Source organism: Homo sapiens, chromosome 20, assembly GCF_000001405.40.
Source record: "Homo sapiens chromosome 20, GRCh38.p14 Primary Assembly".
NCBI classification, from domain to species: domain Eukaryota; kingdom Metazoa; phylum Chordata; class Mammalia; order Primates; family Hominidae; genus Homo; species Homo sapiens.
This window is the reverse complement of record NC_000020.11, coordinates 2,544,739-2,560,395: the sequence shown is the minus strand read 5'-3', so window position 1 is coordinate 2,560,395 and position 15,657 is coordinate 2,544,739. Positions and strand designations below refer to the sequence as shown.

General features: G+C 40.5%; 1 protein-coding gene across 3 annotated transcripts in view, besides 1 other annotated feature; it reads right to left on the bottom strand.

Annotated features, from left to right (window-relative positions):
• Positions 1–15,657, bottom strand: part of TMC2 (transmembrane channel like 2) — a 107,008-nt gene that overhangs the window by 83,185 nt on the left and 8,166 nt on the right. For 2 of the 3 annotated variants that reach the window (XR_001754152.2, XM_005260660.5), the window contains exon 1: positions 1,622–2,231. Coding sequence is in view for 2 of the 3 variants with exons in the window: in XM_005260660.5 (XP_005260717.1) it covers positions 1,622–2,097 (476 nt within the window). In the remaining variant the exon portion in view is untranslated. Of the gene's footprint in view, positions 1–1,621; positions 2,232–15,657 lie in introns of those variants that run through there. The other variant, NM_080751.3, reaches the window with a different exon arrangement.
• Positions 1,647–2,357: an enhancer, noted in NCBI's record as "H3K4me1 hESC enhancer chr20:2538685-2539395 (GRCh37/hg19 assembly coordinates)". NCBI's record gives its function as "activates a minimal SCP1, AML or CMV promoter by ChIP-STARR-seq in naive H9 embryonic stem cells {active_cell/tissue: H9 hESC(naive)}" and the evidence as "EXISTENCE:reporter gene assay evidence [ECO:0000049][PMID:30033119]".

The window sequence follows — 15,657 nt, the reverse complement described above, 5'->3', positions numbered from 1 at the left end:
TTAGAGACAGGTTTGCAGCAGCCTCTGGGTGTTTTAGCTTCTGATTAACTCCTGGGGAGCAAAGAAGAAGTTTTAGGATGCCCTTGAAGGTTGAAAAGCCTAGAACACAGAGATATTTTTTTTTTTTTTGCCATACTTCATGCACACCCAATTGATGATATCTGCCTTTGAGTCTCTGCGTAGGGTGTTCCCACAGTTTGGGGTGTTGGACATTCAGTCATTGCTTATTTAGATTCCACCTGTTATTCAAAGCCTCACTGGGATGTTCACCTTCTCCATGGAGGAACCCTGATGGCCCAGCACCCGGGGAATTCAGCGCTCCATCAAGTCCTGTCTTGCATGCATATTGCTTTCTGCCTTGTCTTAGGATTACCAATGCCTATGTGTTATCTCCTCTGCCACACTGTCAGTATCTAGGCAACGGGAACTGAATGTTTTCATCTCTCTAATGCCTTGGCATGGCCCTCAGCTGAAAATGACATAAATGAGTCTGTGGCCCATTGGGATGGTACAGGCTCCCTCTAAAGTTCAGGGCACCCAGGGCCCATCAACGGTGCATTCACGTTATTTTTAAATGGCCAAGGGCACGATGCACCCTTTACCTCTTTAGTTCATGTCTGGGAGCAACCAGACAGTAGACAAAGGCTGTAACCAAGCCAGGATGGTTGGCATGGCGACAGGAAAAAAATCAGTGCCCTTGTTTAAAAGCCTCTCTGTAAAGGTGGAGAGGAAGATGGAGCACCCAACTGAGGCTGTGGGCAAAAAGGATTTGCTACAAACCACCGGGAAAGAACATCAACTCTTCACCATAATCCTAATATTCCCAACTGTTGCAAAAGAATTCCTATTCTATCACAAAGAATTCTTAAAACAATATGAGCAACGAATAAGGCATCTGTTATCCTCAATGACTGAAAAAGGGAGGCAAAGAGAGAGACACCTATTAAAATTGATAACAAAAACATGAACCCCAAATCTTCACTTTCTGATGCCATAAGCTGGCCCTGTCCACTAACCCACACGTGCTAGTTGGTGCCAATGGTAATGGAACAAAGGAGGCAAAACAAATAAAACCTCCAAGCTCCAGAATTTCAGAGCTGGTAGCATCCTTGAAGGTCTCCTGGACCAGTGCCACATTTCCAGCAGAGGAAACTGGCCCAGATCCGGAAGCCGGAACGAGGTGTGCTTAAGCCCTCAGATGGTTCCTGAGTCCGATTTTGTTCATGTCGCTCAGCTCCTCCTCTTCGAGAGCCGGGGTGAGTCACCAGCTGGAGTTCAGGGGACGCGGGATCGTGTCCCACCCGCTGCCCTGTCACCTCTCCACCCGCGCCCCGCCACCTCTCCACCCGCGCCCCGCCTCACCGGGTGCCACGAGGCGCTGGAGTGGAGAGCCCGCGGCCACTCCCCCGCGCGGACCCGCGATCTTCATCCCGGTTCTGGGATGAAGAACCCACCGCAGAGTGGGGCAGTGGTAAGGGCTGGGAGGCACGGAAGCCAGAGCGAGGGCACGGGCTGCCTCTCCCCGGGGAGGGGGGCATCAGTCCCTCACGGGGGAAGGGGAAGGGCCGCGAAGGAGCGGGAGCGCGCGGAGCGAATGCCCAGAATCGGAGCCACAACACACCTGGGTTTCTTCTGCCGCTTCGACTTCTCCTCCCTCCTCGGAATCTCCTTTTCCCTCTTTGGGGCTGCTGTCCGCTCCTGGAAGGAGGCCCTCTCGTCGCGCTTTCTCCTGCCCTCGCAGGTCCTCTCTGCCTCGCCCCGCTCCTGCTCCCCCAGCTCTTCTCTGTGTCTCCTGCGCCCTGTTTGCTTCCTCCGGGGAGACCCCGGGCTTGGGCTGCCCCCGGCGCGCTCCTTCTGGCTTCGCTGAGCTCCGCGCCTGCCTGGGGTCCCCTCGGCTTTGAGAGCCCGCTTGCTTGAGGATCTCCTTCCCAGCCTGTCACCTGCCGGGGCGGGAAAATGGACAGTTCTGGTTCCAACGGCCTCAGGCCCAGGAAAATGTCCCCGGCCGTGAGAAATCAGACGTCCAAGATGATTCCGAGAGCTTGTGAGCTCTGCGGGGCTCAGAACAGGACACCCCAAAGTATGGCACCTTGGCATGTTGAGTATTTTAAGCTGAAGGAAACTAAGAAAACTGCAGAAGCAGGAAGGTCACTCTCTGGCCTTCTCCCTCCCGTCTCCCTTGAAGACCTCCTGTGACAGGTGTCCTGCCCTATACCCAAGGAAAGGAAAGTCACACAGAGAGGCCAAGAGGAATCGGAACAAACAGGCCTTGCTACTTCCCCCTGGTTGATTACCATGACATCATACCCTTTTGTCCTCCGATCATACTTCTGCACAACTCTCCATAAAAATACAGTTTTCCCTGTATATTTGGGTCTTCGTTTCTGAAGGCTCTTGTGTTCCCTAAAACTTACATTAAATAAAATTGGATGCGTTTATCTTGTTAATCTGTCTTTTGTTATTGGGGTCTCATCCACAAACCTTGCAATGGCTAAGGAAAGAAATCTCTTCTCCCTCTAGGTCCAAAGGCCACCTATTCTGAAAGCTTCTGGTCTGGGTGAGAATGACTGCCTTGGTGGGGGCGCACTTTCATCAGTTTTACCTCCAGGAGCCCTACCAAATTTTCACTGTGAGGTCAGGAGTTGGAGACCAGACTGGCCAAGGTGGTGAAACCCCATCTGTACTAAAAATACAAAAATTAGCTGGGCGTGGTGGTGCATGTCTGTAATTCCAGCTACTTGGAAGGCTAAGGCAAGAGAATCGCTTGAACCCGGGAGGTGGAGGTTGCAGTGAGCTGAGATCACACCAGTGCACTCCAGCCTAAGCGACAAGAGCGAGACTCCATCTGAAGAAAACAAAATAAAATAAAAATAACTGATTAATATGTTAACAGATCTAATGGATAAAATGGACAACATGCAAGAACAGATGAGTAATGTAATCAAAGAGATTGAAACTCTAAGAAACAATAAAAAAGAAATGGTAAAAACCAAAAACACTATAATAGAAGTAAAGAACACCTTTGATGGGCTCATTAGTAGACTGGTCACAGTCAAGGAAAGAGTCAGTGGGCGGAGGATATGTCAATAGAAACTTCCCAAACTGAAAGCAAAAAGAAAAGAAATTTCAGAGATGGAACAAAATATCCCCAAACTGTGGGACAATTTCAAAAGGAGTAACATATGTGTAATGGGAATGCCAGAAGGCAAACAGAGAAAGGAACAGAAGAAATATTTGAATTAATAATTGCTAAGAATTTTCTAATATTAATGACAAACACCAAACCACACATCGAGAAAGCCCAGAGAACATCAAGCAGGATAAATGCCAAAAATCTCCACCTAGGCATATCGTATTCACACTGCAGAAAACCAAAGACAAAGATAAAATCTTGAAAAAAGCTGGAGGAAAAAACTCACCTTACCTGTTGGTATAAAGATAAGAATTACACTAGATTTTGCTCCAGAAACTGTGCAAGTTAAGAGAGTAGAGTGATATATTTAAAGTGCTGACGGAAAAAAAAAAAAGGACAGAATTCTGTATCCATCAAAAGTATTCTTCAAAAGTGAGGAAGATAGACTTTCTCAGACAAACAAAAACGGAGATAATTTGTTGTCAGTAGACCTGCCTTGCAAAAAAAGTTTTATTTTATTTTCATTTAGAAACAGGGACTCTGTTGCCTAGGCTGGAGTGCAGTGGTGCCATCATAGCTCACTATAACCTTGCACTGCTGGGCTCAAGTGATCCTCCTGCCTCAGCCTCCCAGCTAATTAAAAAACAATTTTTTTTTAAAGATGGAGTATCACTATCTTGCCCAGGCTGATCTCAAACTCCTGGCCTCAAGAGATTCTCCTGCCTTAGGCTACCAAAGTGCTGGGATTATAGGCATGAGCCACCCTGTCCAGCCCCTCAAAATGTTAAAGGAGGTTCTTCAGAGGGAAGGAAAACGACATAGGTCAGAAACTTGGATTTACATAAAGGAAGAGCATTCAAGAAGCAATAAATAAAGAAAAAATAGGCCAAACCTGGTGGCTCACGCCTGTAATCCCAGCACTTTGGGAGGCTGAGGTGGGTGGATCATGAAGTCAGGAGTTCGAGACCAGCCTGGCCAACATGGTGAAACCCCGTCTCTATTAAAAATTAGCCAGGCATGATGGCACGTGCCTGTAATCCCAGCTACTGGGAAGGCTGAGGCAGGAGAATCACTTGACGCTAGGAGGTGGAGGTTGCAGTGAGACGAGATCGCACCACTGCACTCCAGCCTGGGTGACAGAGCAAGGCTCCGTCTCAAAAAAAATAAAAATAAAAAATAAAAAATAAAATCCTTCTTTTTAAATTCCTAACTGACCTAAAAGATAAGGGTTTGTTTAGGATAACAATAGCAACAATATGTTGGATAATCATAGCTTATGGATAAGCTAAATGAATTACAGCAATGTCAAAGAGATGGGAGGGAGACATTGGGAATACCCTTTTATAAAGTACCTGCGCTACCCATGAAGAGATATAGTGTTATTTAAAAGTGGACTTGAATTAGTTAGAAATGCAAATTCTAGAACAAACCTTTTTTAAAAAGTAAAAAGGAAGCAAAATTAATATGCTAACAAAGGAGATAAACTGGAATCATATTAAATGCTCAATCAAAACTGCAGAAGGCAGAAAAAGAGTGGAAGATAAAAATAGGAACAAAGAACAAGGACATCAAAGAGAAACCAGCAACAAATATGGTAAACATTAACCCAACTATATCAATAATCATTTTATGTATAAATAATCTCAGTACACCAACTAAAGAAAGGGATTGTCAGAGAATGGATCAAAAACCAAGACCCAAGTATATGCTGTCTATAAGAATCCCACTTTAAATATAAACAGACTTATAGATTAAAAGTAAAGGGCAGAGAAAGATAATCGTGTTAACCCTGATTATAAAAAAAAAAGCTTGAGCAATTGTATTAATTTCAGACAAAGCAGATTTCAGAGCAAGTAAAATTATCGGGGATAAAGAAGGGCAAGACCAGGTGTGGTGGCTCATGCCTGTAATCCCAGCACTTTGGGAGGCTGAGGTGGGTGGATCACCTGAGGTCAGGTGTTCGAGACCAGCGTGGCCAACATGGTGAAACCCCATCTCTACTAAAAATACAAAAATTAGCTGGGCATCGTGGCGCATGCCTGTAATCTCAGCTACTTTGGAGGCTGAGGCAGGAGAATGGCTTGAACCCAGGAGGGTGAGGTTGTAGTGAGGAGAGATGGCACCATTGCACTCCAGCCTGGGCGACAGAGTGAGACTCCATCTCAAAAAACAAAACAAAAACATAAAAAAACTGCAAGGAGAAATAGACCAATTCACTACTATAGTTGGAGACTTTAATATTCCTCTATCAACCACTGACAGAGCCAGCAGGCAGAAAATAGTAAGGACATAGTTGAACTGAATAGCACTATTAATCAATTGGATTAAATTAATATGTATAGAATATATCATCCAACAACAACAGATCCTTCTCAAGCTCATATGGAACATTCACCAAAATAGACCATATGCTGGACCATAAAACACACCTTAACAAATTTAAGACAATAGATATCATACAATATACTCTCTCAGATCATAATGGAATTAGACTAGAAATCTCTAACAGAAAGATAGCTGGAAAATACCAAAATATTTGGAGATAAAACAGCCCACTTCTAAATAACACATAGGTTAAAGAAGCCTCAAGAGAATGAAAAAATATTTTGGACTACATTTAAATGAAAATACAACTGGTCAAAATTTATGGGATGCAGCAAAAGCAGTGCTTAGAAAGAAACTCATAGCATTGAATGTATCTATTAGAAAAGAAGATCTAAAATCAATAAGCCAAGCTTCTACTGTAGAAAACTAAAAAAGAACAAATTAAATCCAAAGTAAGCAGAATAAAAAGAATAATAAAAATTAGAGCAGAAATCAATGAAATTGAACACAAGAAAACGATGGAGAGAAGCATGAAATCATAGAGAGGTTCTTTGAAAAGATTGATAATATTGATGACCCTCTAGCCAGGCTAACCAAGAACAAAGGTGAGAAAACATACATTATTTATCGATTTATTTTTGAGACAGGGTGTTGCTCCGTTGCCCAGGCTGGAGACATAAATTATTAATATCAGAAATAAAAGAGGGATCGTCACCATTTATCTCAAGGACATTAAAAAGATAATAAAGGAGGCTGGGCACGTTGGCTCATGCTGTAATCCCAGCACTTTGGGAGGCTGAGGCAGATGGATCACCTGAGGTCAGGAGTTCGAGACCAGCCTGGCCAACATGGTGAAACCCCCATCTCCACTAAAAATACAAAAAAATTAGCCGGGTATGGTGGCGGGTGCCTGTAATCCCAGCTACTCGGGAGGCTGAGGCAGGAGAATCACTTGAACCCAGGAGGCAGAGGTTGCAGTGAGCTGAGATGGTGCCATTGTACTCCAGCCTGGGCAACAAGAGCAAAGCTCCGTCTCAAAAAACAAAACAAAACAAAAGGATAATAAAGGAGTATTGCAGACAACTTGATGCTGATAAATTTGCTGGCCCAGAAGAACTCGACAAATTCCTGGAAAAACACAATCTACCAAAACTCACACAAAGCGAAATAAGTAATCTGAATAGGCCTATATTTATTAAAGAAATTGTCTCGGCAATTAATAACCTTTTAAATAGAAAACACCAGGCCTGGATGATTTCACTGGTGATTTTGTCAAATGTTTAAAGAAGAAATAATACAATTTCTTTAGCATTTCTTCCAGAAAATAGAAGCAAACGGAACACTTCCTAACTCATTTCATGACGCCAGCATTCCTCTAGCACAAAAACCAGACAAAAACAGACCTGTATCTCTTATAAACATAGATACAAAAATCCTTAATAAAATAGAAAATTGAATTCAAGAACATATAAAAAGAGTTGTATACCAAGGCCAAATGGGATTTAGTCCAGGTATGCAAGACTGGCTCAACATTAGAAAATCAATTGATGTAATCCATCTTATCAACAGCTAATGAAAAACAATCACAGGATCATATCAATAGATGCAGAGAAAACATTAAAAAAATACAACACCCATTCATGATTAAAAAAGTTCTCAGCAAACTAGGGGATAATTCCTCAACCTGATGAAGAATTGCTACAAAACCCCTACAACTAACATCATACTTAGTGGTGAGAAACTAGATACTTTCCCCTCAAGACTGGGAACAAGACAAGGATGTCTCCTGTCACCTGTTCAGCACTGTGTTGGAAGTCCTAGATAATGCAGTAAGATAATAAAAGGATATTAACAGTAGACTAAATGGGAACAAAAAAATAAAACTGTCTTTGTTCACAGATAGTATAATTGTCTATGTAGAAAATCTCAAAGAATTGACAAAAACAAAACAAAATAAACCACAAGAACCTCCTAGAACCAATAAGCCATTTTGTAACAATGATGCAGGATGCAAGGTTAGTATGCAAAAGTCAATTACTCCTATACGCCAGCAATGAACAACTGAAATTTAAAGTTAAAATCACAACTCCATTTATATTAGAACTAAAAAAATGAAATACTTGGCAGGTCACGGTGGCTCATGCCTATAATCCCAGCACTTTGGGAGGTCAAGGTAGGTGGATCAGTTGAGGTCCGGAGTTCCAGACCAGCCTGGCCAACATGGTAAAACCCCGTCTCTACTAAAAATACAAAAATTAGCTGGGCATGGTGGCACGAGTCTGTATTCCCAGCTACGTCAGAGACTGAAGTGGGAAGATCCCTTGAACTCGTGAGGTGGACATTGCAGTGAGCCGAGATTGTGCCACTGCACTCCAGCATGGGTGACAGAACTCTGTCTCAAAAACAAACAAACAAATAAATGAAACTTATATATAAATCTAACAAAATATGTGTAAGAGCTATATGAAGAAGACTACAAAATTCTGATGAAAGAACTCAAAGAACTCAAAGACTTAAATAAATGAATGTTCCTTGGAACAAACATGGAACATTCAACATTATTAAAATGTAAGTTCTTCCCAGCTTTGTCTATAGAGTTAATGCGATTTCAATCAAAATCCCAGCAAATTATTCTGTGGATATTGATAAACTGATTCTAAAGTGTTTGTTTGTTTGTTTAGAGACAGGGTCTCATTCTGTTGCTCAGGCTGGAGTGCAATGGCACGAATATAGCTCACTGCAGCCTTGAACTCCTGCTCTCAAGCAATCCTCCCACCTCAGCCTCCCAAGTAGGGGGGACTACAGGTGCACACTAACCATGCCCAGCTAATTTTATAATTTTTTTTTTTTGTAGAGTCTCTGTATTGCCTGAGTTGTTCTCAAAGCCCTGGGATCAAACAATCCTCCCAGTTTGGCTTCACAAAGTGCTGGGATTATAGGCGTGAGCTACTGCACCCAGCCCTGATTCTAAAGTTTATATGGAAAGGCAAAAGACCCAGAATATCCAGCACAATCCACATCAAGACTCTAAAGCTCTACTTCATACACATCAACACTATAAAGGTACAGTAATCAAGATGGTGTGATACTGGTGAAAGAGAATTAGATCAATGGGATGGAATAGAGAGCTCAGAAATAGACCCACACAAATATAGCCAACCTTTGACGATGGAGAAAGGATAGTTTTTTTCAACAAATTGTGCTGGAACAACTGGGCACCCATAGGCCAAAACCAAAAATCTAGATACAGACCTTATGCCTTTCACAAAAATTAACTCCAAATGGATCATAAACCTAAATGTAAAACACAAAGCTATAAAACTGTAAAAGATAACAAAGGAGAAAACTGCAATGGCCTTCAATTTAGCAATGACTTTTAAAATACCACAGCATAAATGAAAACAAAAATAAAAACAAAGAATAAAATACGATACCAAAAGCATGATCCATTAAAGAGAAAAATTGATGTTTTAATTCATTAAAACTAAAAACTTCTGCTCTGCAAAAGACACTGTGAAGAGAATTAAAAAAAAAAACCCACAAACTAGTAGAAAATATTTGCAAAACATGTATCTGACAAAGGACGTGTATCCAAAATACACACATGAAAACTCAAGAATAAGAAAACAAACAATTAAAAAATGGAAAAAAGATCTGAGCAGACATCTCACCAAAGAAAGTATACAGATGGTAAATAGGCATATGAAAAGATGCTCAACATGGTATGTCATTAGGGAACTGTGAATTAAAACATCAATGAAATACTATTACATGCTTATTGGCAACACAAAATGCTATAAAAAAATGTAGAACAACAGGAATGCTCATTTATTGCTAGTGAGGATGCAAAATGGTACAGCTACTTTGGAAAACAGTATGGCAGTTTCTTACAAAACTAAACATAGATTGACCATAAAATCCAGCATTTGCACTCCGAGGTGTTAACCCAAATGAGTTGAAAATTTATGTCCCAAAACAAAAGCCTGCACACAAATATTTACGGCCACCTTATTCATAATTATCAAAACTTGGAAGCAACTAAGATGTCCTTCAATAGGTGAATGCATAAACAAACTGCGGTAATAAATACAATGGAATATTACTCAGTGATGAAATGAACTTTCAAGCGATGAAAAGACATGAGGGAAACTTAAATGCATATTTCTAAGTGAAAGAAGGCAATATGAAAAGGTTATATGCTGTATGATTGTAACTATACAGCATTCTGGAGAAAGAGACACTCTAGAGACAGCGGAAAAAATGATCAGTGGTTGCTGAGGGTTCAGTGGGAGGGAGAGAGGGTTGAATAGGTGGGCCACAGGACATTTGGGGGCATATTATTCTGTGTCATACTGTGATGATGGATACATGATATATTATGCATTTGTCAAAACCTATGGAATCTATAAAGAGTGAACTCTAGTGTAAAATATGCACTTTAGTTAATAATGTATCCGTATTGGCCCATCAGTTGTAACAAACGCAGCACACCCAATGCGACATGCTAGGAGAAACATTCGGTGAGGGGAGGAAAGAAGGTTATACGTGGAAACTCTATGTAAGTTTTTTATTTTAATTTTTATTTTTTTGAGACAGGGTCTTGTTCTGTCGCCCAGGTTGGAGTGCAGTGGCACAATCTCAGCACACTACAGCCTCTGCCTCCCACGCTCAAGTGATCCTCCCTCCTCAGCCTGCCGAGTGGCTGGAACTATAGGCATGCGTCACTGCATGGAGCTAATTTTTTTTTTTTTTTGAGACAGAGTCTGGCTCTGTTGCCCAGGCTGGAGTGCAGTCTGGTGTGATCTCGGCTCACTGCATCCTCCGCTTCCAGGGTTCAAGTGATTCTCTTGCCTCAGCCACCTGAGTAGCTGGGATTATAGGTGCGCACCACTATGCCCAACTAATTTTTGTATTTTTAGTAGAGACGGGGTTTTACCATGTTGGCCAGGCTGGTCTCCAACTGCTGACCTCAGGTGACCTGTGCAACTCGTCCTCCCAAAGTGTTGGAATTACAGGCGTGAGCCACTGCACACAGCCAAAACTCTGTAATTTCGGCAAAATTTTTCTCCAATCCTAAAACTGCTCTAAAAAATGAAGTCTGTTTTTAAAAAATGAAATGATTGCTGAATGAGATGCTCTGAGGAAACTCTCAAGGAGAAGTTTTTCTGAAGATAAAGGAGTTGCAAACTTCAGAAGGATAGGAAAAATATTTTTCCTATTTGGCTGGAGGGCAGTGGCGTGCTCTCGGCTCACTGCAACATCTGCCCCCCAAATTCAAGGGATTCTTCTGCCTCAGCCTCTTGAGTAGCTGGGATTACAGGCACACGCCACCATGCCTGGCTAATTTTTGTATTTTCAGTAGAGACAGGGTTTCACCGTGTTGGCCAGGCTGGTCTCAAACTCCTGACCTCAAGTGATCCGCCCGCCTTGGCCTCCCAAAGTGCTGGGATTACAGACGTAAGCAACCATGCCTGGCTGGAAAAATATTTTTTAAAAAAGTCAAAAAATCATCAACAACAACAACGATGACGACAAAATAAAAGAGCTCATTTAATTGGCTGAATTAAGATATTAAGTGCTTAGGCTGGGCACGGTGGCTCGTGCCTATAATCCCAGCACTTTGGGAGGCTGAGGAGGGAGAATAATTTGAACCTAGGAATTCAGGACCATCCTGGGCAACACAGCGAGATCCTGGCTGTACAAAAAAACTAAAAATTTAGCCAGGATAGTGGTAAGTGCCGATAGTACTAGCTACTTGGGAGGCTGAGAGAGTGGGATTACCCAAGTGAGCTGTGATGGCACCAGTGCACTCCAGCCTGGGTAACAGAGCAAGACCCTGTTTCTAAACAAATACAAAACCAAAAAACCAAAAAACACAAATAAATTTTAAAAATCCCAGAAATTAGGTAAAAATTTGGCAAATGAACTAATTTATTATGTTTAATTTCATAAAAACAGCTATGCCTTCTTTGGTTTTTCAGCATTAAGTAAAAGACTAGCTTACGTTTTTATTCTACTTGAGTATGTTGTTTCTAGACTTATATAGGTTCCTTGATCAAATATATTAGCATTACTTCTATTTGATGTTGAAGGTTACAAAATACCTAAATTTGTGCTTAACTAAAATGATTCATTACTCTGAACATTTTTGTGAACAGTAATTATATTTTGTAGTATGCCAGCTTGGAAATTAATTCCCAAGATTTTTAGGTATTATAAAGCCTTGAACTGGTATTGAGTTTATGGATATTGATTAGATGCCTAACTAATTTCTTTCTTTTTCTTTCTTTTTTTTTTTTGAGATGGAGTTTCGCTCTTGTTTCCCAGGCTGGAGTGCAATGGTGCTATCTTGGCTCACTGCAACCTCCGCCTCCTGGGTTCAAGCAATTCTCCTGCCTCAGCCTCCCGAGTAGCTGGGATTACAGGCATGCTCCACCACACCCAGCTAATTTTCTATTTTTAGTAGAGACGGGGTTTCTCCATGTTGGTCAGCCTCGTCTCGAACCCCCGATCTCGGGTGATCCGCCTGCCTTGGCCTCCCAAAGTGCTGGGATTAGAGGCATGAGCCACCACACCTGGCCACTAATTTCTAAGTAAGAAAGGATTCTGAAACATTGATTACTAAACATAATTTTAAGTTTATTTACTTTTGCTTCTTTTTTTAAAACATGCCACAGAGAAGTTATATGTTTGGGCCTGTTAACACACATGTTCATATCTGCCCTTTTGAGAAGCTGTATACAAGATGTGTGTGTTTGTCGAAAGTTGTGTTGTGTACATTCAGGAGCTCTGCTAGTCTAAAATGCTGATGTGTGACAGTTGACAATTATCCATCCTACCAGTTTGTTCTGTGAAACAGAAGATCCTTTGGTTAAAAGTTATAATTAAATGATACTCTATTATGATCAGTCTTGATAGAGAGGTACAACTTTGCATGCAAAGTAATAAAACGTGTTTTTGTTAAGAAAAAAAGAATAGTTTTGTCCTAAAGTAAAATGCCTAGTTGTTCCAGAATGGTAAAGAGAACAGTGAAGGACAAAACCTGAATGGAAATAGAAAATAGCAGAAAGTTTGCAGAAAAGAAATTTTATTTAAGATAATAAAGGTTCTTCACTTATGAAAGAGTTAAGGTTCTTAGTGGGTGATCACCTTACCTTCTAAGCTTGTTTTTAAATATTTTAAATGTTTTATTGCCACTTTCAAATGAGTAGCCAAATGTTATTCCTGTGTTCAACTCTCCAGACAATTTTGTTTGTTTTTAAGATTGACTCTCAAATGAAGTTAAATACCTTTCAGAATACCTTTTTACCTAAGACTACCTTTGAGATTTCCCAGAGGGCTCCTAGAAGGCCACAGAGACTTGTTCTTTCACCTTATTTAAAATACAGGTGCCAGAAACAATTAGGATTATTTGATACATTGTTGTTAGGGTTTTGGGGGAAGCTTGTCAAATCAGAAGAGATGTTTAGCCTTCTCTAGGTTAACTTGTGTAGGTAAAATGTTCAAACATTTCAGCAATTATGTGTTCTATATCCAGAGATTTGTTAATTCCTCCATTGTCTATGGTCTGTTTCCTTTTGTTAGAGTCCTGGTGGTGCTCTGCCTGATGTTAGACAACAGTAGAATTATCAGTTATAATTCAGTTATCATTTAAAATGTTTATTTGGACACAATGTTTCCTCTTTAATTTGAATCTAGCCTCCTTCAGGCCAGTGCTTTTCTATTGGAGATGAACATCAGACATATCTATGGACTTTTATTAAAATGTAGATGTTTAGGACCTATTCCATACTTACTGAATCTTTTTACTTGATATTCTTCATATAGTCTTGATATATTTTTCTTATATGTTTGATATTTTCTTGGTATGTCATGTACATTATGTTTTTAGATAATTATATGTTATACTTCAAGATTTTTTCTCTGTAAAAATTATGGTTATCCACCTTTATAAATTAGATATAGTGTACATTATCTATTAAAACATGCTTAATCATTATAGACATTTTGACCAAAGCTTTTAGAATGCCTTCATTGCTTCTTTTGCATGCTGTGGAAGCATCCAAATTTTCCATCAGTTTCATTGTCATGAAATGTTTCACTTTTGAAAGTTTTCAGTAATAAGTTACCCTCAACCAGTTTAAGTCTGTGTCACCTACAGATACTATTTGTTTTGCCCCCAAAGCTTCCTTAAACTCTCCAGAGTTTTTGTCTTCAACAAAGAACTATTTTAGAACCCCAGTTGGAAGGACTCCATTAGGTAATGACTAACATGCTGGTGAAACTCTTAAAGAGTTGATCATGTCCTTCAACTCAAGAGACATACACCATCCTAAAATTACTAGAAAACCATTCCTATTGGTGACCTCAAGCTAAAGATTCTTAGGAGACCTCCCAAAGCAGACAGCCTCAGATGTAGACAGCTTATGCCCAAGATCTACAGCTTATGCCCAACTCTGCAGGTTACTACTCTATAATCAATATTCTTCTCTTTCCTATTCTTTTACCTGCCTCCTATCCTCTCCCTGACTTAAGGCTACTTTAGTTATGTAAATTATAAGACTTCTATTTTTAATATTTCTATTTACATCCTTAATCATTCCTTGGTATGAGTTTCGTACCCAGCTACAATTAACCCATGAACTGTCTAGGGTGCACATTTTTCTTCAGGAGCTACCCAGTTTCATTCGGTTCCAGTTCCTTTTAAGAAATCAGTTGGTTTCCTGGGTAACTGAACTCAACCATTGGATGACTTTTTAGATGGCAACTCCACAATAGGTCAGGTGGGGAGAAATCCAAAACCTTCATCATGTCCTAGAAGGGCCCTGCCTCCATAAAACACTACTTGGGGACCTTTTGTGAGAGCTAGTCTTTGTGATCAGACTTTCACTGACAGAATTATAAGCGGATTGGGGAACAAGTGGTATATTTTTGGAGACTATCTGCTTTCAAAGATCTTACAAGTAAGACATTAGTTTTATTTTTTCCTCCCTTTCTTTTCTTTCTTTCTTTCTTTCATTTCTTTCTTTTTTTCTTTCTTTCTTTCATTTCTTTCTTTTTCTTTCTTTCTTTTTCTTTCTTTCTCTTTCTTTCTTTCTTTCTTTCTTTCTTTCTTCCTCTTCCTCTTCTTCTTCTTCCTTCTTCATCTTCGTCTTCTTCTTCATCTTCTTCTTCCTCGTCTTCTTCTTCCTTCATCTTCATCTTCTTCTTCCTCATCTTCTTCTTCCTTCTTCTTTCTTCTTCCTTCTTCTTTCTTCTTCTTCTTCTTTTGTTTGCTTTAGACCTACTTAGTGATCTCAAAACTACATAATTAACTGCTTGACACCAAACTATTCATGATGAATGGTACCAACAGTTTACAGCATTATTTGACAATCCCATAGGAGTATTCTGGCCAAAACCAGATGACTGAATGGCCCCCAGTGACAGATACTGGATAAGGAACAGAAGCCTCCTATTACTCACAAACTAGACAGGAACTTGTTACCTTTGTAAACTAAAACCTACTCTCAGAATTGTCTATGATATCATCTATTAATTTGTTCTCTAGGAAAACGAGGTCAGTAGATCGTTTCATTGAAGAAGGAGAAAAACTGGGCCCTGGTTTGAGAACTGAAATCCTAAGTACCCTAGGGGTATTCTAGATTTCTTTCTTCTCCCCTCAAGACACTTCTTTTCATACTTTATGTATGTATGCATGCCTTTATGTATGTATGTATTTACTTATTTTTGAGACAGAATCTTGCTCTACCACCCAGAGTGAAGTGTAGTGGAGTCATCATAACTCATTGTAGTCTCAAACTCCTGAGCTCAAGTGATCCTCCCATATCAGCCTCATGTGTAGTTAGAACTACAGGTGTGTGCCACCATGCATGTCTAATTAAATTTTTTTTTTTTTTTTTTGGTAGAGACAGGGGTCTCATTATATTGCCCAGGCTGCTCTTGAACTCCTGGCCTCAAGTGATCCTCCTGCCTCTGCCTCTTGAATAGCTAGGACTACAAGTATGCGCCACCATGCCTGGCTAATTTTTAAATTTTTTTGTAGAGATGGAGTCTTGCAGTGTTGTCCAGACTGGCCTTGAACTCCTGGCCTCATGTGATCTTCCCACCTTGGCCTCCCAAAGTGCTGGGATTACAGGTGTGAACCACTGCACCCAGCCTTTGTTTCATAATTTACAAGAGATCTGATTAGTAGGGTA